The 20276-nt window shown below is 37.1% G+C and overlaps 1 protein-coding gene across 4 annotated transcripts in view; it reads left to right on the forward strand.

Moving 5' to 3' along the window:
- CFAP47 (cilia and flagella associated protein 47) overlaps window positions 1-20276 on the forward strand; it is a 465584-nt gene that overhangs the window by 50168 nt on the left and 395140 nt on the right. For 3 of the 4 annotated variants that reach the window (NM_001304548.2, XM_017029452.2, XM_017029453.2), the window contains exons 11-16: window positions 867-1022; window positions 1685-1871; window positions 1968-2064; window positions 5246-5462; window positions 5771-6012; window positions 19418-19548. In NM_001304548.2, the coding sequence (NP_001291477.1) occupies window positions 867-1022; window positions 1685-1871; window positions 1968-2064; window positions 5246-5462; window positions 5771-6012; window positions 19418-19548 (1030 nt within the window). Of the gene's footprint in view, window positions 1-866; window positions 1023-1684; window positions 1872-1967; window positions 2065-5245; window positions 5463-5770; window positions 6013-19417; window positions 20250-20276 lie in introns of those variants that run through there. The other variant, NM_152632.4, reaches the window with a different exon arrangement.

Here is a 20276-nt window from a genome sequence, read left to right on the forward strand (position 1 = left end):
CTTATGTTTTTTTTCTTTTTTTTCATTATACTTTAAGTTCTAGGGTACATGTGCACAACGTGCAGGTTTGTTACATATGTATACATGCGCCATGTTGGTGTGCTGCACCCATTAACTCGTCATTTATATTAGGTATATCTCCTAATGCTATCCCTCCCCCCTCCCCCCATACTTACGTTTTAATTACTGAGGGTGAATATCCTAATGATTAAGAACATTTGCTGAAGATTGAGGTAGACCAAAGCCAGAAGGTGTGAATACTTGCACATTTTTTTTAATTGAAAATATATGGTGGGTAAAAAGGAAGAGCATAAACCCAGTTGAGTGAATATTAGATATAAAGTAATTCGCAGTTCTTTTATGAATTGTTTCCTCTATATAGGCTTATTGTTGATGGTTATTTCATAAGTTGTGAAGTTTAAAGGAGGTAGCATGTTTAGCAAAAAGATTCATTATTGTACATTTTTTTTTCTGACTTTGATCATGATGATCTAAAAACAGTTAACTTTTAGGAAACACTAGTCAGATACAGATCTAGTTTCTTGGAGTCTTGTCTGTAATCTAGCAGTGTCCAAATTGCCTAACTGACTAATTCTTCAAAGATGGATTTAGAATAGGCACCATTACATCCCAGTGACCTTACAACGGATTTTTTTTATTAGATTAAGAAAAAATAGGCTTCACTCTAGTTCTACATTCAATCATGTCTTGATATAGAATAGCATATGAGGGGAAGGACTAGAATCTGTTCTATTTGCCATTCCACATCCAACACCTGATATAGAAATTGGCTAGGAGGCTGTCAGTAAATACTGATTGAACAAATGCATATATAAAAATATTAACATGACTTGCTTATATTGCAGGCCAATTTTCACAAAAGTTCCAAGATTTAACTATGTGAATCATGATTTTGCATATACTACATTTGAAAAACAGCAAAAGAAATTACATGAAAACTATTATGCAATGTATCTTAAATATTTAAGAAGTGTGCGCTTGCAGAAGAAACAAGCAGAGAGGTAATGTTCAGTTCCTCAAAAAATATGCAACAGATCATGGTGTCTACAGAGTCAGAATTTTTTTTTAACTCCTTGGTTTCTTTTTATTTTAGATGTTGTAAACTACATTTCAATACGTGATAAAAGCAAAACACTGAGCTGCTTTAACTACAATTATTTCTTTTGTTACCTTTTAACTCGGAATTGTCTTAGATGGGTTTCCCCAGAAGCAGATCTTGAGACAGGGATTCCAGTGCCTATGATTTATGGAGTGTGTGCTCTCGGGAGAAACCTGTACAGAATGAGGGAAGCAGAATAGGGAAGGAGTGAGAGCTGAGGAAAAATGTGTTTCAAATAAAGTTGACACTCAGGGTCTCTTGAGACTAAATTTTACCACAAAGTTGTTGCTGGCTTGAGCCAAAGGGGCTTGTCTTTTGTGTTCCATATCAGTCATTGGCTGTCCTTGGGTGTGGCAGGCATGAGCATAATTTCCTCGATGAGATGTTTGAGAAGGGAGTCTCCTCAGCAGAGGACAATTTTATGTGGATTAGTGCACCAGTCTGGTTAAGTGGATATGAGTGAGGCAGCAGCAATATGCACTATGGGAAAGGCTTGAATTTACAGATGCATTTTTTGAATGACTTGACCTCAATTACTGATTATTATTATTATTAATTTTATAGGGAGCGCATGTATTCATATGATGATACAGACATAGGCTTAGAGCCAGGATCAGGTCTAAAGTCACCCTCACTCTCAGAAGCGGAAATAGAAGAGGAGCTGTCTTCAGCAGCAAATTCAATTAGAGCGAATCGATTGTTAACCACCAGGGGTATAGCATCTCAGGAGGAAGAGTCTGTGAGAAGAAAGGCACGTGCAATGTTTTACATTTGGTTATTCCACGAGAATTCTTAAAATAGCTTTTGCTAATAATGAATAATTCTGGAAAAATATGATTTTTTACAGGTTCTCAAAGGACTTAAATCAGAACCATCCACTCCACAAGAAAAACATGATTGCAGCTTAATGTTGACACCAAAGCAAATTCATCAAGTAATTGTTGGTGAGAATACACAAAAACCTACTACAGCCTTTATTTTTTTATAAAAAAAAGATTTCTTAAAGTGTAATTTATATTTCATAAAATTTAAAGTATGCAAGTATCAACTTTGGAAATATAAGAAGTCCTCAGAGTAGTCATAGTTATTAAGTATGACTGAGAGAATTAACTTTAGTAAATTTAAAGTTATATAACCACCTTCGCAATTTAATTTTAGAATGCTGCCATCACTCTCATGCCCATATGCAGTTACTCTCTATTTCTTTCTTTCTTTCTTTCTTTTTTGAGACAGAGTCTCACTCTGTTGCTTAGGCTGGAGTGCAGTGGCATGATCTCGGTTCACTACAACTTCCACCTCCCGGGTTCAAGCGATTCTCCTGACTCAGTCTCTCAAGTAGCTGGGATTACAGGTGCAGCACCACCACATCCAGCTAAGTTTTTGTATTTTTAATTGAGATGGGGTTTCACCATGTTGGCCAGGCTGGTCTTGAACTTCTGACCTCAAGTGACCCACCAGCCTTGGTCTCCCCAAATGCTGTGATTACAGAGTGTGAGCCACCGCACCCCGCCCAGTTACTATTTCTACCCCTTGCCTCAGACAACCATTAATCAACTTTCTATACAGTTGCCTATTCTGAAAATAAATGGAATCATACAATATCTAGCCTTTCATATATTGTTTCTTACACTTAGCATAATGTTTTTGAGGTTCACCCACGTGGTAGGTAGTATCAATATTTTGGTCCTTTTTCTATTGAAACAGCACCCCATTTTATGAGTATACCACACTTTGTTTATCAATTCCCCAGTTGATGGACATTTAGTTGTTTTCAGTTTGAGGCTATGATCAATAATGCTGCTATGAACATTCACATAAAATTCTCTGATTTCTAGGAGTGGAATTGCTGGGTTGTACAATAAATTTATATCTAACTTAAAAAAAAACCCTCTAAAATGTTTTCCAAAGTGATTGCACAAAGTTGTAATCCTATCAGCAATGTATAAGGGTTACAAGTTCTTCAACATTCTCACCAGCACTGTTACTTTCTGTCTTTTTGATTATAGACCTACTAGTGAGTATGAAATGTTATCTCATTGTGGATTTGATACTCATTTCCCTAAATGAATAAGATGTTGAATATATTTTCATGTACTTACTTAGAGAAATGTCTATGTATGTCATATATAGTCTTTGGAGAAATGCCTTTTAAATTCTTTACCCATTTATTTATTTATTTATTTATTGCGACGGAGTCTCGCTCTGTCGCCCAGGCTGGAGTGCAGTGGTGTGATCTCAGCTCACTTCAAGCTCTGCCTCCCGGGTTCATGCCATTCTTCTGCCTCAACCTCCCGAGTAGCTGGGACTACAGGCATCCGCCACCACACCTGGCTAATTTTTTGTATTTTTAGTAGAGACGGGGTTTCACTGTGTTAGCCAAGATGGTCTCCATCTCCTGACCTCGTGATCCGCCCGCCTCGGCCTCCCAAAGTGCTGGGATTACAGGTGTAAGCCACCGTGCCCGGCCTCTTTGCCCAATTTTTTATTCAAATATTTGCTTTCTTATTATAGAAAATGTTCTGTGTATGTGTTTATCTGTAGCATAATGTAGATATGCCTGCAACTTGGATTCTTAGCTTAGTTCTCTCTGGAATTGTGTTTGTGTGCTTCAAGAACACCATGTGTGCTATAGAGTAGGAAGGCTCTGTACTGAGACCAAACTGGGTTTGGTTCTGCAACCTACTAGTGCAGTGACATTAGGGTTTACCTCTATGGGTCTCAGTTTCTTCATCTGTGAAATGGGAAGTGATAATATTGCCTACCCCATAGTATAATTGTGTGAACCAAGTGCCTTACACATAATAAGTGTTTAGAAAGTTTTAGTGAAAACACTTCATCCCTAAGATGAGTATGCTGCATTAGAAAATGCTTAAAGTCTAATTGTAATTCCTTTATCCATTCAGTCATTTTATAAGTGTTAATTGAATGACCACCATATACTAGACACAGTTCTGGGTTCTGGAGATACAGCAATGAAGAAAACAGACTGAGCCCCTGCTCTCATAGAGATTACATTTGGCTGGGGTGGGAGGGAGATAATAAACCTTTCCTTATATAATACATAATTGGTATACAAGGTATGAAGAAACATAAACCAGGTTAAGTAGATCGAGAATAATAGAATGTTTTCATGGAGAGTCTTTTTTACCAGGTGGTTAGCATCTCTGAGAAGTATATTTGAGCAGAGACAGATACCTGTGTGAGGTAAAGACATGAGGCATCTGGGCTGACTGTGAGTTAGGAGAACAAGTGAAAACTCCTTTTTAACCTTGAAGAAGTGCTATACAATATACCCTTCTAGGTCTGTTTTCACCAAGTGATTGAAGGACAGTTATGATTAAAGAAGTAGTGGCTATAATGGTCTGAAGTGGGAGTTCTCATTTCATTCTAACCACAGTTAAGGTGGCCATGAGGGAGATGTGGACAAAGGATGATTGATTGGGCTGATTCTCTCTCTAGGGGGGAATTCAGCATATAAAACATGGAGAATGGTGGGAGAGAAGGAATGTAAAGGGGCACAAAATTTTTGGAGTGATAAATGTTCAGTCTTTATTGTGGTGATTGTTTCACAGGTGTATACATATACGAACACTAATGAAATTCTATACTTTAAATATGTTCAGTTTACTTACTATATGCCAGTTTTAACTAATTAAGCTGTTAAAGGCAGGGCAAAACTTAAAATTATTAAAATTGCTTTGATATAAAATCCTGGGCATTTTAAGGGGAAAACTTAAGCAATGGGTCATGGGAAATTTACCAGTTTCCGTAAATTATAGATAAGTGAACAAAATACTTGTACTAGTGGGAATAGAGGAGGTGTTGAAGTGTTGCAAATTAAGGTGCTAAGATAAGTTGTAGTGAATGGTTCTTATTTAGTCATATAATTTTTCATATAATTAGAATATATTTATATTGAATTGTAGCCAATAATGTCCAAACATTTAATCATGGTCATCTAGAAAAAAAATGCTTACTTAATAATTCCTGCTATTATTGTAAATATTTTTTAAAATTTCATTTTTATACAAATTGGTTGATCAAAATATATTTTGAAAACTTAAAAAGTAAATGAAGTCATTTGCCATCTTTAAACTTAACAAAATACTTTTCATTTTTTTTCAGGGCCTTCTGTCCTTAACTTTGGTAATATTTGTGTGAACTCTCCAAATACTCATCTACTTCATGTTATTAATATGCTACCTATGCATGTTTTGCTCCAGTTAGATACTGATTTAGAAGAACTTCAGAAGACCAACCAATTTTCATACGTGATTCTACCTACATCCAGTACTTATATTTCAATGGTATTTGACTCTCCCACCATTGGAAAATTTTGGAAGTAGGGATTATTTTTGAATTTCTGCTTGTTAGAATCAAAGTGTACTTCTGTAGAATATGTATTTATTTTCCTGAATAATTGTATTGTATATTATATTTGTTCTCCAAACATAGAAGCTATATGTGCATCAATTTTTAGATATATAGATTGATAGTTTAGTAGCAATCTAATTATCTTTCATAATTAAAGTATTACGTGCTAAGAATTGTGGATGTTAATCAATGCTATGTGCATTTTACGTGTAGCTGAATTCTATAATCACAAATAACTATTATCAGTTAAATTTGGATGCTTTTGCTGCATTACAGGTCTTTCACCTTTACAGTGAACAATGTACCCAGTGGACACATCCTAGTGGTGGCAGTTGTCCAGCCAGTAACACTTGAGCTATCTTCTAATGAGCTAGTATTGAGACCACGAGGCTTCTTCATGAAAACATGTTTTCGGGGGACAGTTAGATTGTATAATCGTCAGAATTGTTGTGCTCAGTTTCAATGGCAACCCGTAAACACAGGAAGAGGGATAGCATTTTCTATTTGTCCAGCTAAAGGTAACAGTTTATTGTTTGTTTGATTTAGACATTTATTTTTTCATGTATTCATGTATTCTGGTATTAATTATTTATTGAGTGTGTACTGTGTACTGGTGCCAAGAGTATAGAAGTAAATCAGATACTGTCATCAGGGGTATTTATTTTTACAGATATAATATGATTTGGAAATATGGAACCCTTGTTAGGGTTCTCCAGAGAAACAGACCAACAGGGAGAGAGAGAGACAGAGAGAGAGAGATAAAGAGAGAGACATTTTAAGGAACTGGTTCTGGCTCACAGGTTGTGTGGTTGTGTGGCCTGGCAAGTTTGAAATTTGCAGGGCAGGGTGGTAGACTGGAGATACAGGGAAGAGTTGATGGTGGAGTCTTGAGTCCAAAGGCATTCTGGAGGCAGAATTTATTATTCCTCCTGGGACATCAGTCTTTTCTGTTAAGGCTTTCAAATAATTGGATGAGACCCACCCGCATTATGAAAGGTAATCTGCATGTTAATTAACTGATTGTGATAATTATTATACTATATATGCATATCAAATCATTATGTTGTACACCTTGAATGTATACAGTCTTTGTCAATTAACTGTTTCAAAAAGCCTACTGATTTAAGTGTTAATTACGTCTAAAAAAACACTTTCACAACAACATCTGGACTGGAGTTTAACCAAATAACTGAGCCCTACAGCCTGGAGCAGTTGACAGATAAAATTGATCATCACAGATACTTATGGACAAAATAAATTTTGTTTAGTTTTAGTTAGATAATGATGATAATCTGTGATTCAGAATGACATATTTTTCTAGTATGAATTCTTTTAGAAAGATCTAGAAATTACTTATAGCCAATATTTAATACAACTCATAAAATCCAATTAATAAAATTAAGAACTTTAAATAAGATGATTTTTAATTAATAGAAGACAATCTCAGATATACCATTTTTGACGTGCCCTGTATTTGTGAAGCATCCTCTTAACCTTGTTTCTGCCATTCCCTGGAGTCTATAATTCCACATAGTATACCTGCTGTAACATGAACAATCGTAACTGCTAAACTGTGACTTATTTAGTAGCCTGTCAAATTTGGCAAACATCCTTGTGATGTGCTGTGAGGACCTCATGATGGCACAAGCTATCATTTAGGAAATAAGATAGCAATTAAGAAGTTGAATGATCAATACGGTATCTTTGTTTTATGTACATGTTGTGCCTTTCCAGCTAGATGAAAAGGCTGGATCTTTGTATCAATAGTGACCCATTTGGTGCTTTATAACAGCCGAAGTCCAATTTTGCATGAATGGAAAGTAAAACAGACTTTGGATAATCGTAGCTGCTCACTAGCTATTTTAACTTAAGCAAAGTACTCTGTGAATACAAGTTTCCTCATCTGTAAAATGGAGAGATGACTACATCTCAAAGATTAATTGTGTGAGAAACTTCTCTAATGCCTGGCAAAGAGTAGGTGCCAAATAAATGGGTAGCCATTTTATTACGAAAATTTTCTAAATCTGTTTGGAATTTTTTCCTGAAACGATCCTCAGAGTAATAACCTATCCTGCACCTTTCCATCCATCCTCATTAGAAAACCCTTGCTCCCTGTTTCCTTCCATCTTTCCTCCCTCCTTTCATCTTTCCTCCCTCCTTTGTTCTCTTTCTAGTTCCCTTCCCCTTCTCTCTCCCTCCCTCTTTAAGTCTAATTTAGCAACAGTAATTATTTAGGGTCTAAATAGAAATATACTATACTTCATATTTCAGACGAGTCCTGGTTTGTAGAAATCTTGCCTTAAACATATTTTCTTGTGAATATCAGTCATTTCCAAATCAGTATTTTACATAGCTCTAAAAGTGCTTGTAACAGGGAGTGTTATAAAAACAATCTTAAGTATTAAATTAAATTCACTTAATTTTAGTGTGGATGTGTAGATAGAGATTTTGACAAATTTAACAAGTGGAAGAGTAGGACAGTCCTTTCATTAGGTTTGGAGATCACTGACACAGCTATTTAATCTTCTTATTAATGTGGATTGATTTAACACCATTCTACATCATAATTTGTTAAGTATCTGAAATATACTTTCATCAACATTTCACAGATTCACTTGACCGAGCTCTTTATAAATTTTAATACTGAAAATACTGGATCCTGCCTCAATCTATTGAAATGCTGAGAGAGTAATTAGAGAAGAAAGAACATATTTCTGTACATTTAAGATATTTTAGATAAACCTTCTTCAGTTTGTTTGAACAGGTATCAAACAGTGGTTGTTGTATTATCAGCATTCCAGCTACAGGTGCTGACCAACCATCTGATATTGTGCTAAGAGTGTTAAAAAGCTCACTAGCCTATACTTCTCCTTGTATTAATATTTCTATATTCTAACTAGGGAGGAATGGGCTGGGCTTGCCTTATGGCTGCTATGGAAATGCAATGATGATACTTAATTTTTGTAAAAGAGAAGTGGAATTATGATATTATAAGCTGGAGTACCAGTTATGCTTCTTGTGGTCTTTAGAACTCTTATTTTTACAGGAGAGGTTTTTACATTTAATTTTATTTTCTTTGGTTGCTCATGACACCTCTTATAATTTTTAAACAAACAATTACCAAGGTACAAACACACAAAGATATTTAATTTCAAGTAAAATTTTTGTGTAGGTAATGCCATTAGTACTTAAGTTCTTTTTAAGAATACAAAAATATAATCCTCAAATCTATCTCATATAGCATTGAAAAAAGTGTTTGTAATTTGTAGCATATACAGTTTTGCTTATGTTCCTTTCCTCAGAATATTTATATAATGATTACTCAATTTCATATTGTTTTTACCATTTTATAAACAGAAAGTGACTTTTTACCAAGCTATTTTTCTTGTGCTGTATCAGTTTTGCATCCTGGACAATACATTTAATCATATGCCTCTCTCTATATTTTTATAAACTGAAATGAATAATTCCAAATTAAAATTTATATTGTCTTTGTCCTTCTTCCCTGAGGCATGATAGGTTTTGTGTTTGTGTTTGATAGTGGATATTGTAAGGGGAGAATATAAGAGTGGATTGATATTTTCTTTTTTATTATTTTTGAGACAAAGTTTCACTGTTGTTGCCCAGGCTGGAGTGCAATGGCGTCATCTCAGCTCACTGCAACCTCCACCTCCCGGGTTCAAGCGATTCTCCTGCCTCAATCCTCCCGAGTAGCTGGGATTATAGGCATGTGCCACTACGCCCGGCTAATTTTGTATTTTTTAGTAGCGATGGGGTTTCTCCATGTTGGTCAGGCTGGTCTCGGACTCCTGACCTCAGGTGATCCGCCTGCCTCGGCCTCTCAAAGTGCTGGGATTACAGGCATGAGGCTCCGTGCCTGGCCAAGAGTGGACTGATATTTTCTAAGACAGAATTCAATTCTAATTTGACTTTTTCTGTGGGTATTTTTCATGCTTCTGCTTGTTTTGTTTTGTTTTTGTCTGTTATCTTTATCCTTACTAAAACCTTGAATCACACAATCCATGAACTTGTTTTTGATCAATTCACTCCCACTCTCTTTCTCACTTCTCTCACTGCTTGGTTGTATGCAGTACCAGCTCTACCAGTCCCAGCCTTGCTCAATCCAGCTGAAGGGGAGAAAATCTAATTTATTTTTTCAATCCTCATAAATTTTTAACTGAGATACTCTCTCGAAACAAAAGTCAGAATAACAAAAGAAAAACCAGCAGAAATTTATTGATGCATGCTGTACTGATCACATAGGAGAGGCCTCAGTTCAAAAGTATCTCACAAGGCAGTGGCTTAGAGGTCTTATTTAAATAGTATTTTAACAAAGAGCAATAAATCTTAGCATAGTAAGACAAAGGAGAATGCAGTTCCAGTCTTTTAAAAGGCAGAAAAATATAAGAAGGTAGATTTTACCATGGCAGCCGTAAGGCAAGCCCAGCCCATTCCTCCCTAGTTAGAATAGAGAAATATTAATACAAGGAAAAGTATAGGGTATTGAGCTTTTTAAACCTTAGCACAGTATCAGATGGTTGGTCAGAACCTATAGCTGGAATGCCGATAATACAACAACCACTGTTTGATACCTGTTCAAACAAACTGAAGAAGGTTTATCTAGAATATCTTAAATGTACACCTAAAATCTGCTCCCAGATTTCTCTGGTGCCTGCTGATGTCTTCTCTGGGGCAATAAGCAAGTGATGTCTCCAGTAAGGAAGGATTTACATCCCAACATCAGGCAAACAGAGGCTGAGGCCCAGTGTTCTCCTGTGTTTTTAATTTAACAATCTTAATATATTGGGGAGAAATACTTTGTTTTCCTTTACAGCCATCCAGTTTCTTTCCCATACCCCTGATATACTTAATATTCCTGAAGAAAAAATATATAACTGTGCTCATTGGAGGGAGAAAATTCTTCTCAAGCTGACCTGTCAATATGGATGTATAATTCTTTCACTGCTTTCAACTCTTCTCAGGGCACTAAGATGGCTTTATTTATAGGACTGAATCTTCTTTGCAGAAATTACTTCCCATCACAATCTTCCCCAAACCCCAAAGAACAGGAAAAAGCTGTTCCGTAACCTGACTTTTACATATTCCCCAGGATTTGTCTTTCTGCAGAATTCCTGATCATCTTTCATGTCACAATTCACATGCCACCTCCATATAATGAAGTTTCCTCTAGCTTTTTGGCTAATTTATTTTTTTTTACCCTTTATTTCTGCTCCTATTATGCATTTGTTATGTCATCAACAATTATTTGTTTTTATATGTCTCTTATTTTGGCAGGCATTGCTAAATCCATATCTGATGTTGGTTCCTCTTCCCAACAGGACCCTCATTTTGTTTAGGGCAACAATGTTCTCATCTGAAAAAACTCTTCCGCAAACCTCTTTTGCTATGGACATAAATTTTCTTTAGCTTCACCCTCCTCCTATGTACTTGAAACTGTTTCCCCAAGTATTTTTTACGTGTATTATCATACTTATTTATTTGGACAATAAGACGTTTAATATCACAAACATATATGCGTGTATATATATGTTTGTGATTTTACATATATTTATATATATAAAATTGCTCTCTTTGTCTTTCCAGCTTATTTAAAACAAAATTACATAAAGAAATAGCTATAAAAAGATATTGTTGAGATTGTAACATAAATATACAATAAATATAACATTAGTACCACACAAAGGAGGAAAAGGGGAGTAAAGTTATGTAAGAGTAACAGTTCTATAAACAGCGTAAAGGAGGAAATAATTACACAAATTAAAATGTCAGTGGAAAATACTTACTTAGTACCAAAGAACATAGTAAAGGTGGAATAAAGAATAAAAATACATGAGCCAAACATAAAACAAAATATAAAAGAGCAGATATAAATTCAAATATGTCAATTCTAGCACTAAATATGAAAATATTAAACAAGTATCAAATAAAAAGGCAAGGACTGCCTACTAGATATTAAAACAACAGCAAAAACTGAAATATCTACCACAAACAATCTACAAAAGTAGCTTAAATCCAGAGAAACAGGATAAAAGTAAGAGGATAAAAAACTTGCAAACAGGAAACATAAGAAAGCTGGAGTGATGATATAACAATTAGACAAAATATACATTTTTAAAAACTTTTATTTTAGGTTCAGGGGTACATGTGCAGGTTTGTTACATAGGAAAATCTGCCTGTCACATGGATTTGATGTACAGATTGACACTCAGTTAATAAGTGTAGTACCCAACAAGTAGTTTTCAATCCTCACCCTCCTCCCAACCTCCATCCTCAAGTAGTACGCAAAGTCTGTTGTCCCCTTCTTTGTGTCCATGTGTATTCTATGTTTAGCTCCTAGTTATAAATGAGAACATGTAGTATTGATTTTCTGTTTCTGCATCAGTTTGCTTAGGATAATGGCTTCCAGCTACAATCAAGGTTGCCGCAAAGGCCATGATCACATTCTTTTTTATGGCTGTGTAGTATTCCATGGTATATATGTACCACATTTTCTTTATCCAGTCTAGTGTTGATGGGTGTTTAGGTTGATTTCATGTGTTTGCTATGGTTAATAGTGACAGACACATGCGTGTGTCATTATGGTAGAATGATGTATATTCCTTTGGCTATATACCCAATAATGGGATTGCTGGGTCAAATGGTATTTCTTTTTTAAATTATTGGAGAAATACCAAACTGGTTTCCACAGTGGCTGAACTAATTTAAACTCCAACCAGCAGTGCATAAGTGTTCTGTTTTCTTTGTAACCTCAACAGCATTGGTTATTATTTGACTTTTTAGTAGTAGCCATTCTGACTGGTGTGAGATGGTATCTCATCGTGGTTTTGATTTACATTTCTCTAATGATTAGTGATGTTGAGAATTTTTATATGCTTGTTGGCTGCATGAATGTCTTATTTTGAGAAATGTCTGTTCATATCCTTTGCCCATTTTTTAATATTAGACTTTTGTCAGATACGTAGTTTGAAAATATATTTTCCCATTCTGTAGGTTGTATTTTTACTCTGTTGATAGTTAATTTTGCTGTATAGAAGCTCTTTAGTTTAATTAGGTCTCATTTGTCAATTTTCATTTTTGTTGCAATTGCTTTTGGTGTCTTCATCATGAAATCTTTGCCAGGGCTTATCTCCATAATGCTATTTCTTAGGTTATTTTCCAGGATTTTTAGTTTTAGGCTTTACATTTTAATCTGTAAGGCATCTTGAGTTGATTTTTGTATGTTGTGTAAGGAAAGGGTCTAACTTCAATTTTCTGCATATGGCTAGCCAATTATCCTAGCACTATTTGTTGAATAGGGAGTCCTTTCCCTATTGCTTGTCTTTGTCAATTTTGTCAAAGATCAGATCATTGTAGATGTGTGGCTTTATTTCTGGACTCTCTAGTCTGTTCCATTGGTCTATGTATCTGTTTTTCTACCAGTACCAAGCTGTCTTCATTACTGTATTCTTGTAGTATAGTTTGAAGTTGGATAATGTGATGCCTCCAAGTTTGTTCTTTTTGGTTAGGATTGTCTTGGCTATTTGGGCTCTTTTTATGGTTCCATATGAATTTTAAAATAGTATTCTAATTTTGTGAAGAATGTCAGTGGTAGTGTGATAGGAATGGCATTGAATCTGTACATTGCTTTGGTCATTTTAACAGTATTGATTCTTTCAATTCATGAGCACAGAATATTTTTCTATTTGTTTGTGTCATCATTGATTTCCTTCACTAACGTTTTGTAATTCTCATTGTGGAGATCTTTCACCTCCCTGGTTAACTGTATTTCCAGGTGTTTTATTCCTTTTGAGGCTATTGTGATTGGGATCACGTTCCTGATTTGGCTCTCAGCTTAGACATTGTTGTTGTATAGAAAAGCTACTGATTTTTATACATTGATTGTGGATCCTGAAGCTTTGCTGAAGTTGTTTATCCAATCTAGGTGTATTTGGGCAGAGACTATGGGGCTTTCTAGGTATAGAATCATATCATCTAAAAACAGAGATAGTTTGACTTTATCTCTTCCTCTTTGGATGTCTTTTATTTATTTCTCTTGCTTGATTGCTCTGGCTAGGACTTCTAGCACTACACTGAATAGAAGTTGTGGGAATAGAAATTCTTGTTTTGATCCAATTTTAAAGATAAATACTTCCAGCTCTTTCCTGTTCAGCATGATGTTGGCTGTGGGTTTATCATAGATGGCTCTTATTATTTTGATCTTATTATTTTGAGATGTGTTTCTTCAATGCCTAGTTTATTGAGGGCTTTTAAACATGAAGGGATGTGGAATTATATTGAAAGCCTTTTCTGCATCTATTGAGATTATTATGTTTTATATTGTTAGTTATATTTATGTGATGGATCACATTTATTGATTTGTGTATGTTGAACCAACCTGTGTCTCTTGGGATAAAGCCTACTTGAACATGATGGATTAGCTTTCTGATGTGCTGTTGGATATGGCTTGCTAGTAATTTGCTAAGAATCTTTGCATTTATGTCCATCAAGGATATTGGCCTGAAGTTTTCTTTTTTGTTGTATGTCTGCCAGGTTTTGGTATTAGAATGATCCTGACCTTGTTGAATGAGTTAGGGAGGAGTCACTCCCCCTCAATTTTTTGGAATAGTTTCAGTAAGAATGGTGCCAGCTCTCTTTTATACATCTGGTAGAATTTGGCTGTAAATCTTTTTGGTTCTGGGCTTTTTCTGGTTGGTAGGGTTTCTACTACTGATTAAATTTCAGAACTCAATACTGGTCTGTTCAGGGTTTCACTTTCTTTCTGGTTCAATAATGGGATGTTGTATGTTTCCAGGAATTTATCTATTTCTTGTAGGCCTTCTATTTTTGTGTACAGAAGTGTTTGTAATATAAGTTTTTTTTTGTATTTCTGTGGGGTATGTGTTAATGTCCCCTTTATCATTTTGGATTGCATCCATTTGGATCTTCTCTTTTTTTCTTTCTTACTCTAGCTAATGGTCCATCAATCTTATTTATTCCTTCAAATAACCAGTTCATGGATTTGTTTATATTTTGTATGGTTTTCCATGTCTCAATTTCATTCACTTCAGCTGTGATTTTGGTTATTTCTGGTCTTCTGTTAGCTTTGGGGTTGGTTTGCTGTTTTTCTAGTTCCTCTAGTTATGATGTTTGGTTGTTAATTTGAGACCTTTCTAAGTTTTCAATGTGGGTGTTTAGCACTATAAAATTTCTGCTTAATACTGTATTAGCTGTGTCCTAGAGAGTCTGCTATGTTGTATTTTTTTCTCATTAGTTATAAAGAAATTTTTGATTTCTCCTTAATTTCATTTTTTACCCAAAAGTCATTCAGGAGCAGGTTAATTTCCATTTAATTATATGGTTTTGAGCAACCTTCTTAGTATTGATTTCTATTTTTATTGTGCTGTGGTCTGATGGTGTTTTGTTTGATTTTGTTTTAATTTACTGATAATTTTTCTATGGCCAATTGTATGGTCAGTTTTAGAGTATATGCCATGTGCAGATGAGAGGAATGTATACTCTGATGTTTGGGAGTGGAGAGTTCTGTATATGTCTGTTAGGTCCATTTGGTTAGGTTTTTGAGTTTAGGACCCGAATATCTTTGTTAGTTTTCTGCCTCAGTGGTCTGTCTGATAATGTCAGTGGGATGTTGATGTCTCCCATTATTAGTGTGTTTATCTAAGTCTCTTTGTAGGTCTCAAAGAACCTGTTTTATAAATCTGGGTGCTCCTGTTTTGGGTACATATACAAAGGCTTATCTCAGCACTCCTGGGCTGTGTGCTGTAACTCTGGGAGCTGGTAGTGGGCCCCAGGTTTGTTCTCTGGCCCCTCAAGATTAGGAACATCCGTGCTGGAGGGACTGAAGTGTTCCTGGTCTGCTGGCCACAACATTCCTATTGGGGGTGCTGTCAAAAGCACCTCATCGGGGCCAGGGTGGTGGGATGCACTTGTACTAGCAGTGGTGGTGTAGTGGGGTGCACATGGACACTAATGCCAGCAGGGGAGGAGAGGGGAGATCTGCCTGCACACATGTCCTGGCAAAGCAGTGGAACAAGTTGTGGGTGAGTACATGCCAGCAAAGTGGCAGGGGAAGGCTGTGATGGGGGGAGAGTGCAGGTGGGCTGGTACATTTCAGTGGAAGCTGGTCTGCTATAGTTCCTTGATGGTCAGGCACAGTCTGACAGTGAAGGAGCTATGATAAGGGCCCCCAGGAAGCACCCTGGTTGGGCATCCAAGGCTGTGGTGCAAGCAGGCATGGCCAGACTAGGGCTACTGGAAATGACAGTAGACAGGAAGTTGCTCAGATCAGACTAGTCCTGTCCTATGAGCAAGACAGCCCTGCTCTGCCCAAGTCTAATAGTTACCCAAAGGCTAAATTATTCTAGAGGATCACTGTAAGCCTTGGAGTGTGGGGATCCCAAGTTGTGCTCAACTGTGGCAGTCCCCATGCCAAACCCTCGGGGCTCTACACAGCCTGGAGTCCTGCCCCTTCCTCCTAAGCGGCTCTCCCTGCCATCATTAGCTTATTTAATCCCCACAATGTGATTCTCTCAGTTAAATACAATTGTTATCTCCATTTTACATGTAATTAAACTGAGCTACAGAGCAATTAAGGAAATTGCCCATGGTCTCAGGTAGTAAGTGCCGGTTCTGAAATTTGAACTAGGAAGACCTTAGAATTTGTGCTCTTTTGGGGTTGCTCTTCTTGAGGAGTATCTTTGTGGTGTTCTCTGTATTTCCTGAATTTGAATGTTGGCCTGTCTTGCTAGGTTGGGGAAGTTCTCTTGGATAACATCCTGAAGTGTGTTTTCCAACTTCGTTCCATTCTCCCCGTCGCTTTCAGGTACACCAATCAAATGTAGGTTTGGTCTTTTCACATAGTCCCATATTTCTTGGAGGCTTTGTTCGTTCCTTTTCATTCTTTTTTCTCTAATCTTGTGTTCGTACTTTATTTTATTAAGTTGATCTTCAAACTCTGATATCCTTTCTTCTGCTTGATGGATTGTGCTGTTGGTACTTGTGTATGCTTCACAAAGTTCTCGTGCTGTGTTTTTCAGCTCCATCAGGTCATTTATGTTCTTCTCTAAACTGGTTATTCTAGTTAACAGTTCCTCTAACCTTTTATCAAGGTTCTTAGCTTCCTTGCATTGGGTTAGACCATGCTCCTTTAGCTCAGAGGAGTTTGTTATTATCCACCTTCTGAAGCCTACTTCTGTCAATTGGTCAAACTCATTCTCCATCCAGTTTTGTTCCCTTGCTGGCGAGGAGTTGTGATACTTTGGAGGAGAAGAGGCATTCTGGTTTTTGAAATTTTCAGCCTTTTTGCACTGATTTTTTCTCATCTTCGTGGATTTATGTACCTTTGGTTTTTGCCATTGGTGACCTTTGGATGGAGTTTTTGTGTGGACGTCCTTTTTGTTGATGTTGGTGCTATTGCTTTCTGTTTGTTAGTTTTCCTTCTAACAGGCCCCTCTTCTGCAGGTCTGCTGGAGTTTGCTGGGGGTCCACTCCAGACCCTGTTTGCCTGGGTATCACCAGCGGAGGCTGCAGAACAGCAAAATTGCTGCCTGCTCCTTCCTCTGGCAGCTTTGTCCCAGAGGGGCACCCGCCAGAAGCCAGCCTAAGCCCTCCCGCATGAGGTGTCTGTTGACCCCTGCTGGGAGGTGTCTTCCAGTCAGCAGGCACGAGGGTCAGAGACCCACTTGAGGAGGCAGTCTGTCCCTTAGCAGAGCTCGAGCACTGTGCTGGGAGATCTGCTGCTCTCTTCAGAGGCGGCAGGCAGGAAAGTTTAAGTCTGCTGAAGCTGTGCCCACAGCTGCCTCTTTCCCCAGGTGCTCTGTCCCAGGGAGATGGGAATTTTATCTATAAGCCCCTGACTGGGGCTGCTGCTGCATTTCCTTCAGAGATGCTCGGCCCAGAGAGGAAGAATCTAGAGAGGCAGTCCAGCTACAGCAGCTTTGCAGTGCTGCTGTGAGCTCTGCCCAGTCTAAACTTTCTGGAGGCTTATTTTACACTGTGAGGGGAAAACAGCCTCCTCAAGCCTCAGTAATGGCAGACGCCCCTCCCCCACTAAGAGCCAGTGTCCCAGGTCAACTTCATACTGCTGTGCTGGCAGTGAGAATTTCAAGCCAATGGATCTTAGCTTGCTGGGCTCTGTGGGGGTGGAATCTGCTGAGTGAGACCACTTGGCTCCCTGGCGTCAGCCCCTTTCCAGGGGAGTAAACCGTTCTGTCTCACTGGCATTCCAGGTGCCACTGGGGTATGAAAAAAAACTCCTGCAGCTAGCTTGGTGTCTGCCCAAATGGCCACCCAGTTTTGTGCTTGAAACCTAGGGCTCTGGTGGCATAGGCACCTGAGGGAATCTCCTGGTCTGTGGGTTGCGAATACCATGGGGAAAGTGTAGTGTCTGGGCTGGAACGCACCATCCCTCACGGCAAGGTCCATCACGGCTTCCCTTGGCTAGGGGAGGGAGTTTCCCGACCACTTGTGCTTCCCAGGTGAGGTGACACCCCACCCTGCTTCGGCTTGCCTTCTGTGGGCTGCACCCACTGTCTAACCAGTCCCAATGAGATGAACTGGGTACCTCAGTTGGGAATGCAGAAATCACCCACCTTCTCCATTGATCTCGCTGGGAGCTACAGACCAGAGCTGTTCCTATTCGGCCATCTTGCCTGGGAATTCAAATTTGTGCTCTTTTAACCACCATGATATATGATACCTTTTTACATTGAGAAAGGCCACATGGTAAGGAATGTTAATATGGGAAGCTAGCAGGAGCTCACTGGTCTTTGAAGGCATTGTCAACCTATTAAGACAGATCTGGAATACCTATCCTTGGGATTTTAATTGCATAAGATAAACTCTTACCTACCTAATCCACTGAAGCAGGACTTTTTGTTATTTACATTCAAATGTAATCTTGATGGACCCTGATTAAGCTGATGGCACTTCCATAACCAGTTCTCTTCTTTTTATAAATTAATGTGCCTAACAGAGTGTTGGCATTCAAGAGTATTAAAAATATCTGATATTAGGTGCTTTCCAGGCATCATACACTATGTTACTCCCCATACATATGTTGTTATCTCCCTATATGGCCACTGCAAAACTAAGAGGGAGGTAGGCAGTATATAGTTTTTAAGATTTAGAAAACTTCCATTCCATGACAGTCAACCTGTTCCAAGGCAAAGTTTTCTTGTGATGGTAATTGATTTCTTTCATTCCGTATCCTGTGCCTTTGAATCTCAGGGGCTTCTGCCTTTCCGAAGGAAGAACATCTAAGTTATTGTTTCCATTAAGTAATATTTTCCTTTCTCCAAAGGAAATGATGAATCTAAACAGATAAAACAGCTCACTCCAAATGTACCTGATACCACATGAGTTCTCAATGTATTTGAATTATAGCAATGTGTTAATTACCGATAGCTAAATCAGAAGCTACATCTCTAGGGATGTATGTATTTCAAAAAACTTCTGTGGTAATGATAATTCTTCCTTCTGAAAGCTGAATGAATGATGCTGACAAGTAGTATTCCAGAATGTCAGAAAACATGTGGTGTGGGCAATTTGGTTAGGAACCACAAATGATTTTCTACTGTCTATATGTAAATTTATCTCTAATCATAGAGTGTTTGCTTCATTGTTAAATATTCTATTGTTTTCCAAATATTGGCATATTTTTTCATATATTTTATTTGCCTATTAAAATTGAAAAATAAGGCAGGCATTTTCTATTTTAATCAAACCCTATAGGTCAATACTCATTTGATAATATCTCACTTAGCATTTTTCTGTTTTTGGAGTTTAATTTTAATAGTTTATTTAATGCAATCACATTTTTACCTTAACTCTTATTTTGGATATTAACAAAAAGAAATACAATTAAAATGTGGAAAATGTCTTATTTTCTCTCTACATTTTCCGTAGGCACTGTTGAAGCATATTCCTCACTGGAATGTGAAGTAACTTGGCAGCAGGGCTTCAGTTCTCCAGAAGAAGGAGAATTTATTCTTCATGTCTTTCAAGGAAACGCGTTGAAGCTAAAATGTGTTGCACATGTAATTATTTTCCTTGAACATGGTTTTTGTTTTGAGGGCTATGAATTTGTTGGGTATACACTGGTGTATATAGTTACCTATATCTAGAATTAACTGTAAAACCCAAGACTTTCATGCAACAGTACTAGTTTTTTTGTTAGAGCCTCTATAAATATGTAATATCATCATGGGAGCCATTGAAATGAAATTATTTTATTAAGAGACACAAAAAGTATTTTCAGAGAATATACTTGATGGATTAAAAATGTGAGTAGAGGGAAAGCTGTAATATGCAATTTTAACCTTTTTCTGGTACAGTCCAGAGGGCCTTAAATTCATGACTCAATCACCAAGCATGATTTTACATGTGTACCAAATTTCCCACTCAATGTTCTTAGAAATATTAAAGAAGCCAAATGCTCTTTTACTAAACCCCATCTATATTTCTAGGACATGATGATACTCTTACATATTTCAGCTGTGGAGGAGTTTTTAGCCTCAAGAGATGAGAAATTCATCTACTTTTAGTGATGGCAAGTGACAGAACTCAGTATGGTTTTTCTTCTAAGCCTAAAATAAGCTGGGTCCTACTACTTTTCATTATGTGTAAATTAGTTTTATTTTTTAAAAACTTTCTATTGAAGTATAACATGCATATGTATATGTATATGTGGAGAAACATGAAGTGATTAAATAAAATATTCATTTGTTTGTCATTCATATACGAAGGCCTGATTGGTCTGTTTACT

The sequence above is a fragment of the Homo sapiens genome, chromosome X, assembly GCF_000001405.40.
Source record: "Homo sapiens chromosome X, GRCh38.p14 Primary Assembly".
NCBI lineage: Eukaryota > Metazoa > Chordata > Mammalia > Primates > Hominidae > Homo > Homo sapiens.